The sequence below is a fragment of the Homo sapiens genome, chromosome 19 (assembly GCF_000001405.40).
Source record: "Homo sapiens chromosome 19, GRCh38.p14 Primary Assembly".
Classification (NCBI taxonomy): Eukaryota; Metazoa; Chordata; class Mammalia; order Primates; family Hominidae; genus Homo; species Homo sapiens.
The window spans coordinates 38081090-38105543 of record NC_000019.10 but is presented as its reverse complement, the minus strand read 5'-3'; the positions used below and the strand labels follow the sequence as shown (position 1 = coordinate 38105543).

General features: G+C 50.7%; 1 protein-coding gene across 8 annotated transcripts in view, besides 1 other annotated feature; it reads right to left on the bottom strand.

Moving 5' to 3' along the window:
- The window catches only part of SIPA1L3 (signal induced proliferation associated 1 like 3), a 301162-nt gene that overhangs the window by 102826 nt on the left and 173882 nt on the right, over positions 1-24454 (bottom strand). For all 8 annotated transcript variants that reach the window (XM_047438486.1, NM_015073.3, XM_017026518.3 and 5 more), the window contains 4 exons: positions 22445-24288; positions 16693-16823; positions 5394-5582; positions 4318-4492 (listed from right to left, as the gene is read on the bottom strand). In XM_047438486.1, coding sequence (XP_047294442.1) covers positions 4318-4492; positions 5394-5582; positions 16693-16823; positions 22445-23978 — 2029 coding nt within the window. In that variant the 5' untranslated portion in view covers positions 23979-24288. The remainder of the gene's footprint in view (positions 1-4317; positions 4493-5393; positions 5583-16692; positions 16824-22444; positions 24289-24454) is intronic.
- Positions 23545-24098: an enhancer, noted in NCBI's record as "H3K27ac-H3K4me1 hESC enhancer chr19:38572086-38572639 (GRCh37/hg19 assembly coordinates)". NCBI's record gives its function as "activates a minimal SCP1, AML or CMV promoter by ChIP-STARR-seq in naive H9 embryonic stem cells {active_cell/tissue: H9 hESC(naive)}" and the evidence as "EXISTENCE:reporter gene assay evidence [ECO:0000049][PMID:30033119]".

Here is a 24454-nt window from a genome sequence, read left to right as displayed (position 1 = left end):
TAATAGGAGGGAGGGTTATGGCTAGGAAGAGGCAAACCTGCTTACTGAGCCCATGTTTCAGAGTGGGAAACTGAGGCATGGAGAGGGAGTGCCTTCCCAAGGTCACACTGTACTGAGTGGTAGCGTCTGGACCAGTACTCAGGCTGTTGGATTCCAGATCTGTTCTTTTTTTTTTTTTTGAGACAGAGTTTCACTCTGTCACCTAGGCTGGAGAGCAATGGCGCAATGTGGGCTCTCTGCAACCTCTGCCTCCTGGGTTCAAGCAATTCTCCTGCTTCAGCCTCCTGAGTAGCTGGGATTACAGGTGCCTGCCACCATGCCTGGATAATTTTAGTAATTTTAGTATTTTTAGTAGAGATGGGGTTTCACCACATTGCCCAGGCTGGTTGAACCCCTGACCTCAGGTGATCCACCTGCCTCAGCCTCCCAAAGTGCTGGGATTACAGGCGTGAGCCACTGTGCCTGGCCTCCAGATCTGTTCTTAATAATATTCAATGCTGCCTCAGTGTCTGGCGGGGACACTGAGGCCACAGCTGCCAGTGCCAGAGCCAGGTTGGGAGCCGGGTAACACCCAGGTATCTGCTCAAGCCAGGGCCATTCTTGCCTGTAATTTGGGGAAACTCATTCCAGGAGCACTATGCTTCCTGGGGTCCTCTAAGAGAACCCACTTCCTGGCCAGGCGCGGTGGCTCACACCTGTAATCCTAGCACTTTGGGAGGCCGAGGTGGGTGGATCACCTGAGGTCAGGAGTTCAAGACCAGCTTGGCCAACACGGTGAAACCCCATCTCTACTAAAAGTACACAATTAGTTGGGTCTGGTGGCACGTGCTTGTAATCCTAGCTATTCAGGAGGCTGAGGTGGGAGAGTCCCTTGAAACCAGGAGGTGAAGGTTGCAGTGAGCCAAGATCGTTCTAATGCACTCCAGCCTGGGTGACAGAGCGAGACTGTCTCAAAAAAACAAAAAAACAAAAAAACCAATACTAACACTCACACCTGCCAGCTTCCTCCACGCCAGGTGAGCCCAGGGAGGCCTGCTGCCTCCCCGCCCACCTAGGGGGACACCCACGCTGGCGGAGCTCTGGGAAGCACTCGGCACAGAGGGAGGGCTCAGGATGTTTGGGGCAAAGCTGACCCACGGAACCCTCACCATGCTTCCAAGATAAGCGCAATTATTACCTTCACTCTACAGATGAGGAAACTGAGGTCGAGAGAGGCAAAGCCACCTGTCCAAGATCACGAAACTAGCAAATGGCATAATAACATGCTCGTTCCTCCTACAGCCTCCTTCAGCGGAGGAGCAGGGGAAGGTGATGATGGCCCCAGACACCTGCCTAACACCTCACTTCTCTCTCTAAGATTTGTCTCCTGATCTGGGCTTCTGTTTTGTTTTCTAGAAGAGCAAACCGAGTCTTGGCGAGGTGTGGGGAAGAGCAATGTCTGACTGAGCCATCTTGGGGCCTTCTCACTCCCAGCTGACGAAAACCCACTCCCAAGGACAGTGGTAGTCCATTCCCCAGGGAGCTGTGACACCTGTGAACATTACCCATCCACCCACCCAGCTACTTCTCATGAAACATTTCAATCCTATATATCATATACATATATATATTTTTTTCTTTCCTTTTTTTTTTTTTTTTTTTTGATATGGAGTCTCGCTGTATCGCCCAGGCTGGAGTGCGGTGGTGCGATCTCGGCTCATTGCAAGCTCCACCTTGCGGGTTCACGCCATTCTCCTGCCTCAGCCTCCAGAGTAGCTGGGACTACAGGCGCTCGCCTGTATTTTAGTAGAGACGGTGTTTCACCCTGTTAGCCAGGATGGTCTCGATCTCCTGACCTCATGATCCGCCCACCTTGGCCTCCCAAGTGCTAAGATTACAGGCGTGAACCACCGCGCCCGGCCCCTTTTTTTTTTTTGAGATGAAGTTTTGCTCTTGTTGCCCAGGCTCGAGTACAGTGGTGTGATCTCAGCTCACTGCAACCTCTGCCTCCCAGGCTCAAGCAATTCTCCTGCCTCAGCTTCCCAAGTAGCTGAGATTACAGGCATGTGCCACCACACCTGGTTACATTTTTGTATTTTTAGTAGAGACGGGGTTTCACTACGTTGGCCAGGCTGGTCTCGAACTCCTGCCCTCAGGTGATCCACCTGCCTCAGCCTCCCAAAGTGTTGAGATTACAGGCGTGGGCCATTGCGCCCAGCCCCATATATCATATATATTTATGTACACATACACATGATAAGCACAGAGACTGCTGCAACAAATACGTCCTATGTGATACCACCTTAAGAAAAAGACCACTACCCACACTCTAACGTGAGCACCGTTTCCTAGACACACCCACCTCTCCCCAGACAGCCAACCACTATCCTGCATATTGTCTCCAGTATTCCCTTGTTTTTTTTTTTTTTCTACTGATTGATTGAGACGGAGTCTTGCTCTGTTGCCCAGGCTGGAGTGCAATGGTGCGGTCTTGGCTCACTGCAACCTCTGCCTCCCGGGTTCAAGCGATTCGCCTCAGCCTCCCAAGTAGCTGGGATTATAGGCGTGAACCACCACGCCCAGCTAATTTTTTTGTATTTTTAGTAGAGATGGGGTTTCACCATTTTGGCCAGGCTGGTCTCGAACTCCTGACCTCAGGTGATCCACCCGCCTCGGCCTCACAAAGTGCTGGGATTACAGGCATGAGCCACCATGCCCGGCCTATTTATTCTTGAGATGGGGCCTTGCTTTGTCATCCGGGCTGGAGTGTAGTGGCATGATCATAGCTCACTGCAGTCTCAAACTCCCAGGCTCAAGCAATCCACCCGCCTCAGCCTCCCAAAGTGCTGGGATCACAGGCATGAGCCACCACGCTTGGCTCTGTTTTTCTTTAGAGTTCCACTGTGTAAGAGCATATCCACCAACAATATATTGCTGGGTTTTTGTTTTTGCTTTTTTTTTTTTTTTTTTTTCAGAGACAGGGTCTTGCTTTTTTGCCCAAGCTGGTCTTGAACACCTGGCCTAAAGCAATCCTCCTTCCTTGGCCTCCCAAAATGTTGGGATTACAGGTGTGAGTCATCCTGCTGGACCTTTTTGCCAGGTGTAGTGGCTCATGTGTGTAGTTCCAGCACTTTGGGAGGCCAAGGATCCCTGGAGGCCTTGTGTTTGAGACCAGTCTGGGTAACATAGCAAGACCTTGTCTCTATAAAAAATAATAATTGGCCAGGTGTGGTGGCTCACGCCTGTAATCTCAGCACTTTGGGAGGCCGAGGTGGGCAGATCACGAGGTCAGCAGTTCAAGACCAACCTGGCCAATATAGTAAATCCCCATCTCTACTAAAAATACAAAAACTAGCAGGGAGTGATGGCTCATGCCTGTAATCCCAGTTACTTGGGACGCTGAGGCAGGAGAACTCCTTGAACCTAGGAGGCGGAGGTTGCAGTGAGCTGAGATTGCGCCACTGCACTCCAGCCTAGGCAATAGAGGCAGACTGTTTCAAAAAAAAAAAAAAAAAGAAAAGAAAAGAAAAGAAAAAAATTGTTATGTAAAAGACATCATTCAGGTCCCACTCTTCTGAGGCTTGCTGTCTTTGCGCAGCACGAAGCATGTGGCTCTCTTCCACGCTGATGCCTGTGGTGCCAGTTCATCTCCTCTGGGTGAACACGGCGCAACTCTGCCAGTGTGCACTGGGTGCACCGAGGTGCCGGTGGTTAGGGATATTCAGTCCTCTCCTGCCATGCACGTGCACATTAGACAGAGTGCATACCTAGGAGTGCAGGAGCTGAGTCACAGAGCAGCGTCTCTTCAAACTGGACTTGAATGTGCTGTACTGTTTTCCAAAGTGGCTGCACATGGCCAGGCGTGGTGGCTCATGCCTGTAATCCCAACACTTTGAGAGGCTGAGGTGGGTGGATCACTTGAGGTCAGGAGTTCGAGACCAGTCTGGCCAACACGGTGAAAGCCTGTCTCTACTAAAAATACAAAAATTAGCCAAGTGTGGTGGTGCACACCTGTAGTCACAGCTAGTTGGGAGGCTGAGGCAGGAGAATCTTGCTTGAACCTGGGAGGTAGAGGTTGCAGTGAGATGGGATCATGCCACTGCACTCCAGCCTGGGCCACAGAGTGAGACTCTGTCTCAAAAACAACAACAACAACAACAACAAGTACAACAACACGAAAAAATAAAGTGGCTGCACTTATTTGTGCTCCTACAAGTGAAGTCTGAGAGCTCCCACTGCTCCACGTCCCCACCGTGGCATCCCCAGGCCTTTTAAGCTTTGCCTGTTGAGTAGGAGTGCAGTGGTGGCTCACTGTGATCTAACCGGCCCCCTACTTACTCTTGACGTCCAGCTGGGCAGCGTACTTGGTGAAGCCCTTCAGGCAGACCTTCTCGCCGATGAGGGAGAGGAACTCCTCAAAGGCGGGGCCGGCCTCCTCATTGTTGTACATCTCCTCCTCGGAGCTCTGGCCGGCCTTGCAATAGAGGATGCCCACCTTGTGCTTCCGGCAGAGCTGCAGAGGCAAGAGTGGCTTTGTGGAGGCAGGCCAGGCAGAGATGGCAGAGGGAAGGGAGCAAGGGGTATGTCTGAGGCCTGAGGCCCTGGGAGCTGCTGGGACCACTCGGGAACCCAGAGCCATAGCCAGACAGGGGAAAACAGTGTTGGGGCATGGCAGCATGTCCCAGTTGTCCCTCCCCCTCCCTTCCACTCCAGAGAAGCACAACGAGGTATCCAGGCCGCCTCTTCTCGCTATGGCGGGTGGAGGACGGCTGGTGATGCCACACTTGCATGAAAGAGACTGTTGCCTTGGCCGGCATCCCACAGTAGGTGGACTGGGATGGGCTGAGATTCTGCAAAAGCAAAATCTGGAGGGCTCAAGGCTTATAGTCAATACCTTTTTTAGGGAGTGGGCTCCCAATAACTATGTTTGCTTTAGGTATCCCGGATCCCCCTGGTCACTGGTGACTGGGCCATGGACAGCCACCTGACCTACGCCATAGCCCAATCGATGGCTCTCCTGTGACCAGGGTCAGCCTGCTGGGGTCTGCATGTGGCTGTAATTCTAACAGACTGGGAGCTGTGGGAGAGGCAAGAGAAGCAGAGGGAGCCAGCATGTGGAGCGGGGAGGAAAGACACACTAACCCCCCACTATAGACACATATATGCATGCACACATGGGGACCTAGCAGCTATCTCACCCCCAGACAATCTCCCTCCTTTAGGAGACCCAGTTACATTCTTGCTCTTGGCACCACTAGAATTTGATTTGAATCCCTCCTTTTGCTGAAACCAGCTTAAGTAGGTTTCTGTTACTTGCAAAGAAAAAAGAAAGTGACCAAGATAGAAAAAGCTACCAGGAGTGGGGTTGCAAGGTACTGCCCCAGCAGCACCCCCACCTCCAGCCCCTGACTCACCCCTTGCTCATCGAGCTTCAGCAGTTGCTCCGTCACCTTGGGGGTGTTGAGGGCCAGCCGCAGGCAGTGGATGTTGAGCTCGGGGATGACATACTCCAGGGCATCCTTCAAGGGCAGGCCCCGCCCGGTCCCATGCTTGGTGGCTGTGGGCGTAGCATCTTCCAGGATGGAGCCCCGCAGGGTGATGAGCTACTCAAGGGAGAGAAGGGAAGGTTAGGGGGCTCTCGAGACCTAAAAAGGGATAAGAGCATAGCAGAGGTATCTTGTTTTGAAAGAGACATGTGTGATGATTGGAAGTTTGTGCTCTAAGGTCAGAAAGCCCTAAGTCTGAGCCAGAACTTGAACCTGCTGCCTCCTGGCTGTGCGGTCTTGACCAAGTGACTTCATATCTCTGAGCCTCAGCTTGCTCTTTTGTGAAATGGGTACAGGATGGTATCGTAACCTTGAAGGGGTGTTGGGAGGATTAAATGAGACAATAATGTAAACTACCTTCATTTGTTCAACATATACTGGCTGAGTGCCTCCTGTGAGGCACTGAGTCCTACTCTAGGTGCAATGAACAAAGACCCTTGTCCTTGTGGAGCTGACACTGGAATGGGGGAGATGAATTATGTAAGGCAGTAGGGAGTATAATGAAGAAAACAGGTCCTACCAGGAGGTGGGCTCTTGTCATTATTACAGTAACACTGTATTATGTACACATTACTGTAAATGCTCAAGTAAAACACCCACCTGCCTTGAATACTGGCATCATCTTGGATCTTGAACTGTGGCACTGGTTTCAGACCAGTTTCATTTAAAAAAAAAAAAAAAGGCCAGGCGTGGGTGGCTCACACCTGTAACCCCAGCACTTTGGGGAGGCCAAGGTGGGCGGATCACTTGAGGTCAGGAGTTCAAGACCACCCTGGCCAACATGGTGAAACCCCATCTCTACTAAAAATATAAAAATTAGCCAGGCATGGTGGCATGCACCTGTAATCCCAGCTACTTGGGAGGCTGAGGCAGAAGAATCACTTGAACCCAGGAGGCGGAGGTTGCAGTGAGCCAAGATCGCGCCACTGCACTCCAGTCTGGGCAACAGAGCAACACTCAGTCTGAGAAAAGAAAAGAAAAGAAGAAGAGAAGAGAAGAAAAGAAAGGAGGGAGGGTAGGAAAGAGAGAAGAGAAGAGAAGGGAAAAGAAAAGAAAAGGACAAGACAAGACAAGACACCACCAGTGATTCTAATTTGGTTGGTCTGGGATGGGGCCAGACATGCATGTTTGCATACATGGCATATTTTTAATCCTTCTCAGGTGCTTCTGATGTGCAGTCAGGGATGAAAACCTTTAGTCAAAGCCAATCACAGCCATCTCATTCCCATTCCCCAGATGTTGCTTCCCAAGTTTTTCCTATAGGCAACCATGTGATCAATTCCAGGCAATGAGATATGAGGAGAATTGTGCTTGGTGAGGACTTCTGGGGCAGATTTCCCTCTAATAAAAGGAAAGCCCCCTTTGGGAGGCCGAGGCGGGCGGACCACTTGAGGTCAGGAGTTTGAGACCAGCCTGGCCAACATGGCAAAACCCTGTCTCCATTAAAAATACAAAAATTAGCTGGGCCTGGTGGTGCATGCCTGTAATCTCAGCTACTCAGGAGGCTGTGGCAGGAGAATTGCTTGAACCTGGGAGGCGGAGGTTGCAGTGAGCCAAGATTGTGCCATTGCACTCCAGCCCGGGTGACAGAGCGAGACTGTCTCAAAAAAAAAAAAAAAAAAAAAATGAAAGCCCCTTTCCACCTGCCCACTTCTTTGTGTGATGGGCAGTGGTATGAGAATGAAATGTTTGGAGCTGTGGCAGCCAGATTGCAATCATGAGGAAAGAGACAACAAAAAGTCACAGAAGTTAATCCTTGCAGCTGCCTACGTCCAGACTTATTAGATGATTAAAGTAACCTCCCTTTGTTTTAGCTACTGGTAGTCAGGTTTTCTATCGCTTTGCAGCCAAATAAATGTCTAACTTATATACCTTAATAACAAGTCACATTTATGAAGGTGCAGTTCACTGCACTGTGCTCCAGGTACTATAGTAATAACTGTATGTATAGGTCTATTCAAGGGAGGTTTTATCTCTGATTTACAGAGAAGCAAATTGAAGTTCCAAGAGGTTACGTGCCTTATCCAAGGTCACCACAGCTGACAAAATGGCAACCAAGATTCCAACCCAGTCCTGACTTCTCCGAAGCTCGTGGTTTGTTTTGAGATATATATATTTGGTATGTGTATGGTGAGGTATATCCAAATATATAAAGTATACAGGCCAGACACAGTGGCTCACACCTGTAATCCCAGCACTTTGAGAGGCCGAGGTGGGCAGATCACCTGAGGTCAGGAGTTTGAGACCAGCTTGACCAACATGGGTGAAACCCTGTCTCTACTAAAAATACAAAAATTAGCCGGGCGTGGTGGCGCATGCCTGTAATCCCAGCTACTTGGGAGGCTGAGGCAGAAGAATCGCTTGAACCCAGGAGGAGGAGGTTGCAATGAGCTGAGATCGTGCCATTGCACTCCAGCCTGGGCAACAAGAGTGAAACTCCGTCTAAAAAAAAAGTACATAACACATAGATGTGAGGCCAAAGAAAGTATCAGAAAGCAAATACCTGGGTAATCACTATCCAAATCAAGAAATGTATTTCCAGCACCCACAGCCCATTTGTACCCCTTTTTCCTCAAAATTAACTCTATCCTGACTTTCAACACCATCATTTATATCTGTCTATTTTTGAACTTCAGGCAGTTTGTATTTTTTTATTCTTTTTTTCTTTTGAAGACAGGGTCTAACTCTGTTGCCCAGGCTGGAATGGAGTGGCACAATCATGGTTCACTGCAGCCTCGACCTCCTGGGCGCAAGAGATCCCCTGCCTCAGCCTCCTGAGCAGCTGGGACTATAGGCATGTGCCACCATGCCTGGCTAATTTTGTATATTTTTTGTAGAGACAGAGTCCCACTATGTTGCCCAGGCTGGTCTGCAACTCCTAGGCTCAAGTGATCCTCCTGCCTCGGCCTCCTGAAGTGCCAGGATTACAGGTGTGAGCCACTGCGCCCAGCCAGGCAGTTTGTATTCTTTTGTTATCTAGCTTCTTTCTCTGAATGCTACATATATGAGCTGCAGCTATGCTGTTGCGAGAGGCTGACGTTTTACTCCTTTTCACTGTTGATGAGCACCAGAACTGCTTCCAGTATTTGCCAACTGTGAATAGTGCTGTTATGAACCCTCACAGAAGCACCTCAGTGCACACGAACACCTTTTCTTTTGGGTTTATGCCTAGGATAGAAATTGCTAAATCACCAGGCATGCTAATCTTCAATTTTACTGAACTGCCAAACAGTTTTCCAAGTGGTTGTACCAATTTACACCCCACCAGCCCTGTCTGAGAGCCCCTGCTGCTCCACATCCTCACTAATACCAGCTCATGCTTGTAGCCACAGCATGCTGCTGGCCACCAGGTTATGCCATGCACTGGACCAGCACCACACCAAGAACGCACAAAGAAAAATCCCTCTCCAGGGGGCTTGTTACAAGCACCCAAAGTACACTTGGGGCTGTGGTTTAAAGACTAAGGAGGAGGCCAGGTGCGGTGGCTCACACCTCTAATCCCAGCACTTTGAGAGGTCGAGGTGGGCGGATCACTTTAGGTCAGGAGTTCGAGACCAGCCTGGCCAACGTGGTGAAACCCTGTCTCTACTAAAATAGAAAAATTAGCCAGGCATGATGGCTCATGCCTCTAATCCCAGTTACTCAGGAGGCTGAGGCAGGAGAATCACTTGAACCCAGGAGGCGGAGGTTGCAGTGAGCCAAGATTGTGCCACTGCACTCCAGCCTAGGCGACAGAGTGAGACTCCATCTCAACAACAACAACAAAAAGACTAAGGAGGATAAGTATTAACTGCAAAAACATGCTTGCCTAAGTCGACAAACACAGGAGGTGGCAAAAATAACATGTCATGACTTCGCCTCTAAGCACACAACCCACCCTCACCAAAGAGCACCTGGGCGAGAGGCATGTGTGGAAGGAATAGAATGATCCCACTTCTGGCCCCGGTAATTAACAAACAAACAAATCTCTCTTATCACAAGCACGGTAGTGTCAAAACCAATCATGAAAAGCAATGATGTTGGGGGCTTTGCCCTGTCAATCTGGGTGGCCCTGGGGTTGTGGGTTTCAGTTAAGACCAACAGGATCAGTGTCTTTATATCCTACTGACACTGTCCCACAGTGCCCTCTGCTGGGAACGAGGGACAGCACGGACCAGAAATCTTCCTTCTTCCTCCCTGGAGACGGGTGACTTACAGTCACATTTTGGCTCTGACCACCTCATCGGCGCGCACTACTTGAAAAACTCCTTCAGCACTGGCGACAGTAAGTGGGACACTGGCAGGTCATGAGTGGCCACCTCACTCTCCACCTGGTCACCCCCACCATCACCTCCCACCTGGACAGCAGCCTCCTCCAGGTCTCCCTGCCCCTGCCCTGTCCCCAGTCCATTCTTTCTACAGCTGCCTGAGTCAGATCACAGCCTTCCTCTGCTCAGAGCCTGAAAACATCTGGCATCAGCTAGTCGAGGGCAACAAATCAAGTGAGCTGTGAAAGGCACACAGTACCATGCAAACAAGGAGGTTCCAGCTGGTACAGGTTATCCCCACTCACTCCTGACTCAGACGTACTCCCCGCTTGACTCTGTGCTGGGCGGCAGGTGTACCCTTCAAGAACATTTCCTAGGAGGTTACTTAGGAGGTGGTCTGCCTGGGTTTGAATTCTAGCTCTAGCTCCTCCCTAGCTGTGTGACTCTGGGCAAGTCGCTTAATTTCCCTATTTCCTCATTGATAAAATGGGGATAAAAATGCCTGCCTCAAGGCAATGAAAGGATTCAAAAAGATCCGTGCATAATGCTTAGTGCTGTATCTTGGGTACAGAGTGAGAGCTCAATGTGTGTTAACCATTATTATCTGTAGATGTGTGTTAAATGTTTATGTACAAAGCCACATGCATAGTTAATAGTTTTAAAAATATTATTTCTTTTTTATTTATTTTGTTTTTGGAGACAGAGTTTCGCTCTTGTCGCCCAGGCTGGAATGCAATGGTGTGATTTTGGCTCACTGCAACCTCTGCCTCCTGGGTTCAAGTGATTCTCCTGCCTCAGCCTCCTGGGATTACAGGTAGCTGGGATTACAGGTGTGTGCCACCATGCCCAGCTAATTTTTGTATTTTTAGTAGAGATGGAGTTTTGCCATGTTGACCAGGCTGGTCTCGAACCCCTGACCTCAGGTGATCCACCTGCGTAGGCCTCCAAAAGTGCTGGGATTACAGGCGTGAGCTACCACGCCTGGCAATTAATTTATTTTTAATAGAGATGGGGTCTCGCTACGTTGTCCAGGTTGGTCTCAAATTCCTGGGCTCAAGCAATCTTCCCGCCTCAGCTTCCCAAAGTGCTGGGATTACAGGTGTGAGCCACTGCACCTAGCTGAGTTTTAAATTTTTTAACCTTAAGCAGGAAGCTACATTTTTTTGCTTTTCCCCCTACTTAACAATATGCTTTGGAGATTGTTCATTTAAACATACACACAGCCAGGTGCAGTGGCTCATGCCTGTAATCTCGGCATTTTGGGAAGCCAAAGGAGGAGGGTCACCTGAGCTCAGGAGTTCAAGACCAGCCTGGGCAACATAGTGAGATTCTGTCTCTAAAAATAAAACAAAATTATTAGCCAGGCATGGTGGTGCATGCCTGTGGTCTCAGCTACTTGGGAGGCTGAGGCAGGAGGATCGCTTGAGCCCGGGAATTCGAGGCTGCAGTGAGCTATGACTGCACCATTGCACTTCAGCCCAGGGGACAGAGTAAGACCTTGTCTCAAAAATAAATAAGCAAATACACACAGACACACACACAGTCAGATGTACCTATTGAACAAAAACGGGGTCACACTTGCTTTTTTCACTAATGAAACTTTCCTTTTTCTACTTTGCATACTTATGTATTGTCTAAGTTCTTAATAATGAGCGTTTGGTACTTTTTAAATAAAAAAGAAAAACCAATAAAATAAAAACCCAAATCTCTAACCCTATCAGAACTAAAGCCTGTCAAAAATCACGTGTTCTAGGCCAATGAGAACCACTGGGCCTTGTGGGGGGGTGCCACACAGTTCCTGGCTGGTTGCCATCCCCACTCTGTCCCCAGTGTCCTGGGTGAGACAGTGCCAAAGGGACCTGAGACAGGGCAGCCCTGGCCTGGCGCTCACCCTGTCCAGGCTCTCTGGGGTTTGGACAAGCAGTGCCAAAGCCCAGCTCCAAGTCTGTTCCTGCCTTGGTGGGGAGCCTGGCACTGCCAATGCTCATATCCCATCTGCTGGGAGATGCAGGTCCACTCGAGACTGTCTGCTTGGCGGCTGGGGACGGCCATCTGGGGCAGGCTGGCTGGCTTGGAAGGCAGCCCAGACCTCTCGCTCTGGCCCCTATGCCCTGGTTTACAGGACCCCAAGGCATGTGTGTGTGTGGATATGAGAAGGACAGAACCCCATCCGTGAGCTCAACCTATGCTTCCCAGCATGGGGCTCTGACCTCCTGGGAAGGAACATCGGCTGCAACAGTGGTGCCGATCATAATCACTTCCAGTCAAGTGTCAGGTCCCCCACTGCCTGCTTGGTATGTGCAACCTCACCGAGCCCACAACACAGTTCTGTAAGCTGAGAATTTCCAAGGGGGAAACTGAGGCTCTGAGAGGAAAGGAGCCATGTGCCCAAGGTTCTAGAACTGCTGAGTGGTCAAACTAGGACTCACAGGACGTCTCCAACCCACGGAGCATGGCTCCGCCTCAGGACCTCTGCACTGGCTGTTCGCTCTGCCTGGAATGCTCTTCTTCCAGTTGTCCACACGGCTCCCTCTCCCCTCCTCTAGGTTTACTCCAGTGTTACCTTCCCAGTGATGCCTCCCTTGACCTTCCTGTTAAAAATCTAAGCACCTGGGCCAGGTGTGGTGGCTCATGCCTGTAATCCCGGCACTTTGGGAGGCTGAGGCGGGTAGATCACCAGGTCAGGAGATTGAGACCATCCTGCCTAACACAGTGAAACCCCGTCTCTACTAAAAATACAAAAAATTAGCAGGGTGTGGTAGTGGGAGCCTGTAGTCCCAGCTACTCAGGAGGCTGAGGCAGGAGAATGGCGTGAACCTGGGAGGCGGAGCTTGTGGTGAGCAGAGATCACGCCACTGCCCTCCAGCCTGGGGAACAAAGCTAGACTCCGTCTCGGGAAAAAAAAAAAAAAAAAAAAAATCTAAGCACCTGCCACACTCATCATTCCTCCTTGCTTTGTCCCCCACCTTGTCACCATGGGAAGCACCTACAGCATAATTTGCTAAGGTGTTCTGCGTCCTTTTGTCTCCCCCTCAAACACCCAGTCTCACGAGCATCTTTGCTGCCTTGTTTGCTACGGTACCCTCCATGCCCAGCATAGAGCTGGGACGGGGGAACGCTGAGCAAATGTCTGTGGAATGGATGGATCCCAGGCCTGTGGCTGTGAGACTCAAAGAGTCCCCGTGCTGTCATCAGGGATGGATCAGAGTCCCCCACGGCTAGTTTTGTAGGTGCTGGGGGTGGGAAGTGGACGGGAGCAGGTACACACTGGGAATGGCATCAAGCCAGTTTCAAACTTAGTGAACAGGAAATCACAGCAAAAAATTATATAACCCAGTATCCATGCACTAAAGTCTCACGACTCTCAGTATGTGTGACATAGTCTGGGTTTTTTTTTTTTTAATATTATACTTTAAGTTCTAGGGTACATGTGCACAACGTGCAGGTTTGTTCCATAGGTATTACATGTGCCATGTTGGTTTGCTGCACCCATTAACTTGTCATTTACATTAGGTATTTCTCCTAATGCTATAGTCTGGTATTTTTTATTTTTTAGAGACACGGGTATCACTATGGTGCCTAGGCTGGTCTTGAACTCCAGGCTTCAAGCAATCCTTCCGTCTTAACCTCTTACCCCAAAATGCTGGGATTACAAGTGTGAGCCACCATGCCTGCCTATATATTGTATTTTCTTTTTTTTTTTTTTTTGAGATGGAGTCTCACTGTGTCACCCAGCCTGGAGTGCAATGGAATGATCTTGGCTCACTGCAACCTCCACCTCTCAGGTTCAAGCGATTCTCCTGCCTCAGCCTCCTGAGAAGCTGGGATTATAGTCACCTGCTACCATGCCTAGCTAATTTTTTTTTTTGTATTTGTAGTAGAGACAGGGTTTCGCCATGTTGGCCAGTCTGGTCTCGAACTCCTGACCTCGGGTGATCCACCCGCCTCAGCCTCCCAAAGTGCTGGGATTACAGACGTGAGCCTCCACGCCCCGCCTATTGTATTTTCATTACGAACAAAAACACAAACGCTAGCACTGAGTTGGTTGAGCTCCTAACTCATGAGTGGGTCCAGTGTGCAGTCTAAGCTGACTTAGTCAAAACCCAGAGGCAGCCGAGTGCGGCGGCCAGAACACAGGCAGGCACCCTGCCCTGCCACTCCCTGGAGGGTGCTTTGGGCAAGTCTCTTAACCTCTCTGTGCCTGTTCTGTCATCTGTAAATGAGGACAACAGGGTCTTCACCCTAGAATCGTGATGAGATTTAAGTGAGTTAATAGATATAAAAGGTATAGAATATTGCCTGACACACAGTATAAAGGAGATTTGCAGTAATAATAGCCTTCATAATAAATATTTTATATATACATATGTGTATGTATATATTTTTGAGACCGAGTCTCACTGTGTCACCCAGGCTGGAGTCCAGTGGTGTGATCTTGGCTCACTACAACCTCTACCTCCTGGGTTCAAGAGATTCTCATGCCTCAGCCTCCCGAGCAGCTAAGACTACAAGTGTGCACTAATATACCCAGCTAATTTTTGTGTTTTTAGTACAGACAGGGTTTTACCATATTGGCCAGGCTGGTCTCGAACTCCAGGGCTCAAGGGACCCACCTGCCTTGGCCTCCCAAAGTGCTGGGATTACAGGTGTGAGCCGCTGCACCCAGCCTATTTATAAGTATATGACTGTAGGCGTCATTTCACCACCCAGCAGTTGCCCATATGTCCTAAAACAGCCAGATGCAGTGTGAGCTGTCACCTCTCATTCTGCTCTGGTGCTCATCTGGCCAGAAAGGTGGGTAGAGGGAGGAGAGGGCTGGGGAGACAGAGGCTGGTGACCACCTGTGGTTTGGCGCACATGGCTTTAGGGCTGCCTCTTCCTGGCTACTGCAAAGCCTCCATGCCATCCCATTCCCCCAACTCAGTGGGAAGGTCTTGGTCAGGGGATGGGGCGAGGGCACTCCGAGCTGCATCTGCCAGCCTGGATGAGGTCCAGGACTTGGCTGGCCCCACAGTCAAGTCCTTGGCAGCCTCAGCCTGCTAGGCGTCCATGTCTGGGCAAAGGCCAGGCCCAAGGGGCTGGGGCAATGCAGGCTGAGGGAGACCCATTTTGGAGGGCCTGCCTAGCTGGCAAATGCCACTTTTCTGAAAGGTCTTCCTTATTTGGGTCTTCTGGGCCTCTCTGTCATTTCTGCTTCCCTGGGTCCCCTCTTTTTGCTGAGGATCTGCCCTGCCTCCTCCTCCAGGGAGCTCTGGTGGAACTGTCAATCACAGTGCCTGGCCCTGCCCCTGGACCCAAGGTGGGTAACACATGCTAGACCGGGCAGTTTCCTCTACCACCCCTGATCACAGCGACTGGCTCAGGACTTGGGCTTGTGATCTAAAGCAGAGCCAGAGTTCTTCCCAGATAAATCAGTGTAAGCCTTTTTTTTTTTTTTTTTTGAGATGGAGTTTTGCATTTGTCACCTAGGCTGGAGTACAATGGCGCGATCTCAGCTCACTGCAACCTCTGCCTCCCGGGTTCAAGCAATTCTCCTGTCTCAGCCTCCTGAGTAGCTAGGATTACAGGTGCCTGCCACCACGCCCAGCTAATTTTTGTATTTTTAGTAGAGACGGGGTTTTACCATGTTGGCCAGGCTGGTCTCGAACTCCTGACCTCAGGTGACCTGCCTGCCTCGGCCTCCCAAAGTGCTGGGATTACAAGAGTGAGCCACTGCGCCTGGCCAGTCTGAGCCTTTTGGAAGAGACAGTGCAAAGAAGTAGATTTGAGCAGCCCATCTCCATGTTCCCATGACATGGTGAGAGCTTGTTAGTGGCAGAAGAAAATGACACTCGCGATGCAAAAAGCAGAGCCAAGCAGAGAGTTAAAGAAGCAGAGTTCTGGAGACTGCATTTGAGTCTCTAAGTCCAGCTATGCCGGAAGTTTGCCCTACCCCTAGATTTGCAGTTACATGAACCAATGAATGCTATTTCTGACTTAAGCAAGTTAGAAATAGATTTCTGTCACTTACAATTTAGAGTCCTAATAGAGCATGGGTGCCCCAACAGGCCTTCCTCACTAGCTACAGTTGACATTTAATCCAGGGGAAGGCTTCCAGCCAGGACCATGGGCTTCTCTACTCAGAATGGAAAGTGACACATTGGGAGTACCTTGAGCTGATTGGCATAACAGCAGTACCTGTGGTTGAGAGTCCCCAGTTCCTGTCCTGCCTGAGGCTTGTTGCCTTAATTCTTTCCATTACGTAGGACACCTCATGTTCCTAAAATGATCCCTTACCTTCCCTTTTATTTCTTATGCTTATTAGAGCTAATCTCTTGCAAACAGGTTTTGTAATGTTGGGCTCTGAAGTCAGACACCCTGGACTGAAATCTTGGTCTGGCTACTGGTTCACTGATCCTATAGAAATCATTTAATTTTTTTTTTCTTTTTTTTTTTTTTTTTTTGAGACACAGTCTCACCACTCTGTCACCCAGGCTGGCAGGCTGGAGTGCAGTGGCATAAACTCAGCTCACTGCAGCCTCTGCCTCTCAGGTTCAAGCAATTCACCTGGCTCAGTCTCCCCAATAGCTGGGATTACAGGCGCGTGCTACCACACCTGGCTAATTTGTATTTTTGGTAGAGATGGGGTTTCGCCATGTTGGTCAGGCTGGTCTTGAACTCTTGATCTCAAGTGAGCCACCCGCCAAGCTTCCCAAAGTGCTGGGATTACAGGCGTGAGCCACCATGCCTGGCCAGAAGTCATTTAAATTCTGCGTCTTAGTTTCTTCCTCTGTGAGATGGAGAGACTAACAGGATTGCTCTCCCGGGGTTGTTGGGAGGATTCCATGAGATGAAGCTGGGGAAGCGTTTGCCCCCAGAACCTGGCTCGAGATGTGAGTGGCTATGATTTCTTTAATAAGAACGAGAGTGATGGGACCTACCTCGCGGGTCCGGAAGATGATCCTGTACTGGTACTGAGGTCCGTGCTCCTTGTGGTCTTCCAGCTTCTCCCGCTTAATGCTCACAGCCACTGGCCCCAGCTTCTCATCCACGCCGAAGTAATTGGCATGTTCTAAGAAGGAAGAGCAGGCGAGTTCAGGCTCAGCTGTCTGGGAAGGAGGGGCCCTGATGCCCAGCAGGCCTGCAGACAGGGCGACCAGGCAGGGTCCTGTGCAATCTGTGGGATGCTGGTCACGCAAACCTCATGCCTGGTCACAGACACCCCCAGTGGAGACACTGTAAGAGGCAAAAGCCCACCTTACTGTACCACCTGCCAAGCCACAGAACTTTTCTGAGCCTCAGCGCTCTCATCTGAGAAAACAGGACCTTGATGCCACCCACAATTCAGAGAGTGGATGTGAAGGCAAAAATGAAGCTACAAATATGAAACACTTAGTACAGTGCATGGCATGCCATCAACCCAGCATCACTGCGATTAATCCCGTGTTTGCAAATGGTCCACTTGGTTTAACTGCGGATTAGCCCTTGTGAAACTGTTAAGAAAGATTCTAGAGAGCCTCCTCACACCTGGGCTCTGCCCCTTAATAGATGTCTGGCCCCAGCCAAGTCGCTAGATAGCATTTTCAGCCGTAAAGTTAAAGGTGGACCCAGCCTTCAGCACCGTGCCAGGCACATAGTACGCACATGATGAGTGTTGGCAATGACCATCCCCAGTTGTTGGTGCCTGTCAGGGACCACGATAGGGGCCCCTAGGCATCACCTTTATCTCACCATGTTTCTTTACCTAGGTAACTTCAACACTGCTTTTTTTCTTTTTTTTTCTTTTTGAGACTGTTGTCCAGACTGGAGGGCATTGGCGCGATCTCGGCTCACTGCAAGCTCCACCTCCCGGGTTCACTCCATTCTCCTGCCTCAGCCTCCCGAGTAGCTGGGACTACAGGCGCCCGCCACCGCGCCTGGCTAATTTCTTATATTTTTAGCAGAGACGGGGTTTCACCATGTTAGCCATGATGGTCCCGATCTCCTGACCTTGTGATCTGCCCACCTCGGCCTCCCAAAGTGCTGGGATTACAGGCGTGAGCCACCGTGCCCGGCCAACACTGCTGTTTTTTCCCTTAGGGTAACAGAGGCTTTAGCCAGGCATGGGACACACCTCCTGCTCCCTCGTCTACCTGACAGCTGCCTCCTCTTTTTTTCTAAAACATGCTACTATCTTATAACCCTTCCAGGCAAATAGTTCTTCCTGATGTATAACCCAAGTATCTCATGCTTGTGTGGGTATCCGCCAGCGGTCTGTCTTGATCCAAGTCCACAAAGTTAGCATCTACCCACCACCGGAAATTGTACTGGTACACTGAATGTTTAACTGATGGTTCTGGTTCTCATGAGATGCTCTTGGCAAATCAAAGGCTAGTCTAAGGGCAAAATACTGTGTGGTAATTAATGACCCCGATCAGAACAGCATCTGCAGGGGGTTCAACAATCTCCAGCTGATCAGAGAATGGAATAAACATTGTACTCTACAGATCACAAATACCAGCTTATTCCTGAAGCAGCTACAGGGGTTGTTGCTTTTTCCATCAATGCATATCTAGCTCCTTGCGAATCCTAGCATATAGTAGGCACTCAATAAACACTGACCAATGACTTATTTACTAGCTTTGACAAAGATTCTTTGCTTGGCCAAACTTTAGTCAGGCTTTGGAATCTTCTCCTAGGCCCATCTGTGCACCTCCTTGTAAAATCCAGTTTTAACAAAGAACCCTGCGCTAAGTCAGTTTAGCAAGAACCCTGCCCCCCAACCTTATCCTCAATATCTGGACATCTTCAACACCTGATCAAGCTCTTCATCTTCCACCATCCAAAGGTGATGTCTGATCATCCTGGCGTGTCATCAGCAACATTAGGTTGGTTTAGCCAGAATCTTCCTTACCTCTGACATTTCTTCTTAATAGTTTCTTCCATGCACTGATCCCCACCTTGCTTCTTGGCTATAAATTCCTACTTGACTACGCTGTATTCAGAGTTAAGCCCAATCTCTCTTCCCTACTGCCAGACTCCGCTGCAGTGGTCCCTATGCCTGCTGTGATGGTTCTGAATACATTCTTTACTGTGCTTTAACAAATATTATTGAAGAGTTTTTGTTTTTTGAGACAGGGTATTGCTGTGTCACTCAGGCTGGAGTGCAGTGGTGCAATCATGGCTCACTGCAACCTCTGCCTCTAGGGCTGAAGCGATCCTCCCATCTCAGCCTCCACAACAGTTGGGACTACAGACATGCACCACCACACCTGGCTAAATTTTTAACCTTTTTTTGAGGTCTCACTATGTTGCCCAGGCTGGTCTCTAACTCCTGGGGCAAGTAATCATCCTACCTCGGCCTCCGAAAGTGGTGGAATTACACTTTCAGGGAGCCCTTGTGCTTGGCCAGAACGTTTTTTTCTTTAACAGCTTTCAGGGCTACAAAGAAATTTTTAAAAAGAAAACGGCTTTTTTTTTTAAAGCTCCAGGATGAGTACTTCCTACCTGCCTAACAAAGAACTAAGTATTTTAATGTATAATCTTATTTGATCTTTATTTGATCCACATTCCTTTCATGTACGTATTTGTACGTGTAGGTTGAAAAGAATGTGTTCTTTGTTGGTTAGGTACAAAGTTAATACATATACAGTGTAAAATCAAGTTTTCATTAGGTTATCTAAATCCTCTAAATCCTTATTTTTCAGCTACTAGATTCTGTCAACTTCAGAGAGATAATCTGTGCACTTCTCCCGCTATGGTTGTGAGTTTTTCTACTTCTCCCCGTAGCGTTTTTTTTTTGTTTTGTTTTGGTTGAGGGGACAGAGTCTCACTCTGTCGCCCAGGCTGGATTGTGATGGTGCGATCTCGGCTCACTGCAACCTCTGCCTTCCAGCTTCAAGCGATTCTCCGGCCTCAGCCTCCCAAGTAGCTGGGATTACAGGCACCCGCCACCACGCCCAGCTAATTTTTGTATTTTTTAGTGGAGACAGGGTCTCACCATGCTGGCCAGGCTGGTCTTAAACTCCTGACCCCACGTGATCTGCCCGCCTCGGGCCTCCCAAAGTGCGGGGATTACAGGCATGAGCCAATGCGCTCAGCCAGCCTGATCCATTTTTTAAATCTAGGTACCCCTAAACCAAGTTGCCAGGTATACGAAGGTTCACAACTACCAGAATTTCTTGGCGAACTTTAAGAAACATGAAATGGCCTCCTTAGTTCCTCTAAAAGGTGCTTTCAACCTTTACATCTATTTCATGTGATACTGACATTGCCTCATTGGCTTTTTCCTTGTAAGCAACTGTCTGGAACTTCTTTTTTTTTTTTTTTTTTTTGAGACGGAGTCTCACTCTGTTGCCCAGGCTGGAGCGCAGTGGCGCGATCTCGGCTCACTGCAAGCTCTGCCTCCCGGGTTCATGCCATTCTCCTGCCTCAGCCTCCCGAGTAGCTGGGACTACAGGCGCCCACCACCATGCCCGGCTAATTTTTTGTATTTTTAGTAGAGACAGGGTTTCACCGTGTTAGCCAGGATGGTCTCAATCTCCTGACCTTGTGATCACCCACCTTGGCCTCCCAAAGTGCTGGGATTACAAGCGTGAGCCACCGTGCCCGGCCTGGAACTTCTTTTTTATCCCTTTCTTTTCAATCTCTGTGTCATTCTGTTTGTGCATGTGATATTGATATAATCATCTTCATTTGTCACACAGTCTGAAGGGTAAAACGTATCACGTGGATCAGCTATGGAACAGATACCCCAAACCGAGGGCTGTCTGACTCCAAGTTGGAGCTCCAGTGTCCTGTGGGATGACTTAACTGACATTTGTTATGTTTGACAAGGATATTACTTTAAATATTTTTAAAAACTAGTTGCTGTGAGCTGGGCATGGTGGCTCACGCCTGTAATCCCAACTCTTTGGGAGGCCAAGGTGGGTGGATCACCTGAGGTCAGGAGTTCGAGACCAGCCTGGCCAACATGGAGAAACCCTGTCTCTACTAAAACTACAAAAATTAGCTGGGCATGATAGCGAGCGCCTGTAATCCCAGCTACTCAGGAGGCTGAGGCAGGAGAATCGCGTGAACCCAGGAGGCAGAGGCTGCAGTGAGCTGAGATCGCGCCACTGTACTCCAGCCTGGGCGAGGCGACAGAGCGAGACTGCCTCAAAAAAAAAAAAAAAAAAAGAAAAAGAAAAAAACAACAAAAAAAAACCTAGCTGCTGTGGGGTACTAGCTGCTAGTACTTCGTCTTTTTTTTTTTTTTTTTTTTTTAAGAAAAGCCCTCTATTCTTGGAAAAGAAAAACTTTGTCTAGCTAAAAACCTGCGTTTCCCAGCCTCTTTTGCACACAGGTGTGGCCACTAAGTGCAAGTAGTTGGACCGGGCTTCTGAGAAAGCTCTTTAACGCATTTATGCCGGAGGCTGCAATTTTTTGAATTTTTCCACAAGTAAAAATTCAGACCCTGGCAATGTCCTTGAGCAGTAGGCTATAACTCCCACATGCTTAGCGTTCCAATAATGAAACACTAGGCATAAGGGCATAAGGGGGTTGACTTGACAAGAGGTCTGCCTTTTTGTCCTTACCCTTTCCTCTTTTTCTCTGCCTGGAAACACAGATGTGACGCCTGGCACTCCAGCAGCCATCTTGGTGTGGAGCAGTGGGGGATCATGCCATGCACTAAGGCTGACCATACTGATGCTTAAGACTGACCATACCAGCCCTGGGCTGCTGAACTCTGGATTTCTTCACAGGAGAGTCCCTTCTATGTTGTTTAAGCCTGTTACTAGCAGTTACAAGCAATTCTCAATTTTTTTTTTTTTTTTTTTTTGAGACAGAGTCTCACTCTGTCACCCAGGCTGGAGTGCAGTGGCATGATCTCAGCCCACCGCAACATCTGCCTCCTGGGTTCAAGCGATTCTCCTACCTCAGCCTCCCAAGTAGCTGGGATTACAGCCACATGTCACCATGCCTGGCTAATTTTTTTGTATTTTTAGTAGAGATGCGGTTTCACCATGTTGGCCAAGCTGGTCTTGAACTCCTGACCTCAAGTGATCCGCCTGCCTCAGCCTCCCAAAGTGCTGGGATTACAGGCGTGAGCCACTGCGCCGGGCAGTTCCAAGACTTTTGTATTCGCTGCTCTGTTCTGGGAACAGTGTCTGCAATTTGCACATGGTGACTTCAGCTTGGTACTCAAACTGCACCTGCCTCGGAGGCCCCCTCTGACCATCCCCCACTGGGATCTGCCCCCACCCTCCGACACTCCATTTCCTTCTTCCCTGCTGTACTCTTTTCCACTGCATTTAGCAGCCTACAATCCCTTGTGTATTTTTCGTATTTATCCTGTTCTATGTTTGTGTTACCCATGAAAACATTATAAGTACTAGGAAGACAGAACATTTGTTTTAAGCTGGTTGATACTACATCCCCAGGCTCTAGAGAGTGCCTGGCACTGAGCTGTCCCCAAGTCCATATGTGCTGAGTAAATGCAGAGCTGTGTCCTGTAGCTCAAGGTTTATGGAGTGCTGCTGTGTCAGACACAGGGCTGAGGCCCGGGTGGCTCTGCTCACCGGATCCTCACAGCCCTCCAGAAGGGAGGTCTCTGTTCCCGCCACATCCTCAGTGCCAGAGCAGGGCCTGGCACAGAGTGAATGAATGAGTAGTGGGGGTCTCGGAGGCAAGCCTCGGCCCACCCAACCTTCCCACCCACACGCCATCCGTCACCTTTGCCCACGAAGTAATCCTGGTAGTAGCGGGCGCCCAGGTCCACATGCTCGATGCTGTACTGCCGGGGCCGACTCTGCGTCCGCTGCTGCTCCTTGGGAACTTCCAACACCGAGATGCTGGCGTTGGTGCGGTAGGCGCTCAGGGCGGGCTCTGCCAGGTGGCCCTCGCCGCTGCTCGGGGAGCCCACGGAAGCCCGGGAGAAGCTCACGTTGCGCTCACACTCGCCCCCGATCTCATTGCGGAAGTGCGGGCAGCTGAGCAGCAGGTCGTTGCTGTTGTCATCGCCGAGGTCCTGCTCCAAGTTCTCCTTGCAGTTTAGGTCCTCTGTGCTGGTGAAGGCCGGGTCCAGGCCTCCGAGGCTGTGGGCCCGCGAGGCCGTGAGGGAGGCCATGGCCGAGGCGGCGGAAGCGGCCGAAGCACCCGTGGTGGTGTTCCGCCGCTGCGACACCGACACCCTGTTGGCGGCCGCCTCGTTGAGGTCGAACAGCATGCTCTGCACGTCGAAGTGGGCGAAGCTCTTCTGACACACCCACGGCCTGCTGGCTTCCGGGGGGCTCCGGCCCTCGTCGGCCTCCCCCGGGGAACGCCCAGCCTCCCCCTCGGGTTTGCTGCTCCTTAGCTTCCGAAAGATGGACGAGTCCACCGTGTCCCCGCCGCCGAGGCCCCGCGCAGGTTTCTTCCGGGCCTTCTCCTTCTCCTTCGTGGGCTGCAGTGGCAGGAGGCTGTCCTTGGCGGGCTGCCCGTTGTGGGAGTCCCCCTTGGCTCCGCCGCCGCCCCCCATGAGGTGTGGGCCAGGATCTGCCCGGAGGAGCTCGGTGAGGGCCTGGCACCCTCGGGCGTCGGGCTGCTCGCTGCGGAACTCGTTCAGGATGTCGAAGAAGCTCTGCTCGGGCATGCCCTGCACGTCGATGGACGAGGTGCTCCCGTACTCGCGGAAGAGGGGCAGCGCCCCCGTGTGCCGGGCCCCCCGCGGCTCCCCCGCGTCCTCCGCGTCACACTCGCTGAGGGTGATCTCGCTGCTGCTGCGGTGCCGAAGGGGGAGGAAGGCCCTGCCGGGGGACCGGGGCCACCCGTCCTGGAACTCCACGTCTTTGGACCTTCTCCTGGAGAGTCGGTGGAAGGCTTTGGACCCTGAGGAAGCCGGGGTGCTGGTGGGGGGCTGTCCGTTCTGTATGCTCCTCATGGAATGGGCCATCTTGGTGGCCTTTGTGCCATCTGTGTCCTGGGAGGGGCTTGGGTTGCTGTGCTCTCTCAGGGCCTCCCGCTTGGGCGGCCAGTCGGCCACCCTTGCGCGCACGCCCATCTTGGGCATTGCGGGAGTGGTGGGGCTGGGGCGGGTGGTGGCGGTGGCGGTGGCGGTGGCGGTGGCCGGGCTCTCGCCAAGAGGCTGGGACATGCTGCCATTCTGGGCCCAGAATCCCAAGGGAGCGTAGTCCCCTGTGTGTGGCCCAGGGAGGACATCGCCCACCCTGGCGCCACAGCTGGCTGCCAGGTCCACACCATCGCTGGGGATGGCCCGATAGGTGGTCATAGTCCACGGGCACTGGAGTGCTGCTGGCCCCGTACGCTGTGGTGTCACTCTATGGGGTCCCCCAGCCCTCAGCCATTGTTCAGGGCAGCCAGGCCCAGGATGAAGGATGCTGGGCCCTGAAACCTGACAGGAAGGTTGTGAGCCTGTGGAGTCCAGTTCTCCACCATCGCTGTGCACAGCTGAGCCAGGACAACCTCAGGAAGCAGGTGCTGTCCTGGGGGCTCCAGACCGAGTGGCTCAGTAGCGCAGAGCAGGCAGTAGCTGTGGTCGCCCGCCAGCTGGAGGCAGCAAGGATGTTGTCCTCGCCATGCTGAAATGGAAGAAAAGGAAAATATGAGCTGCGATGGCCGTGTTACTGCTCCCAGAAAGTGGGACATGTGACTTTTCTTGACAGCCTTACTCATTTAAAAAATCTTTTTATTATGGAAATTTGCAAACATACTCAAAAGCAGAGAGGAGACTGAGTCACCCATCAG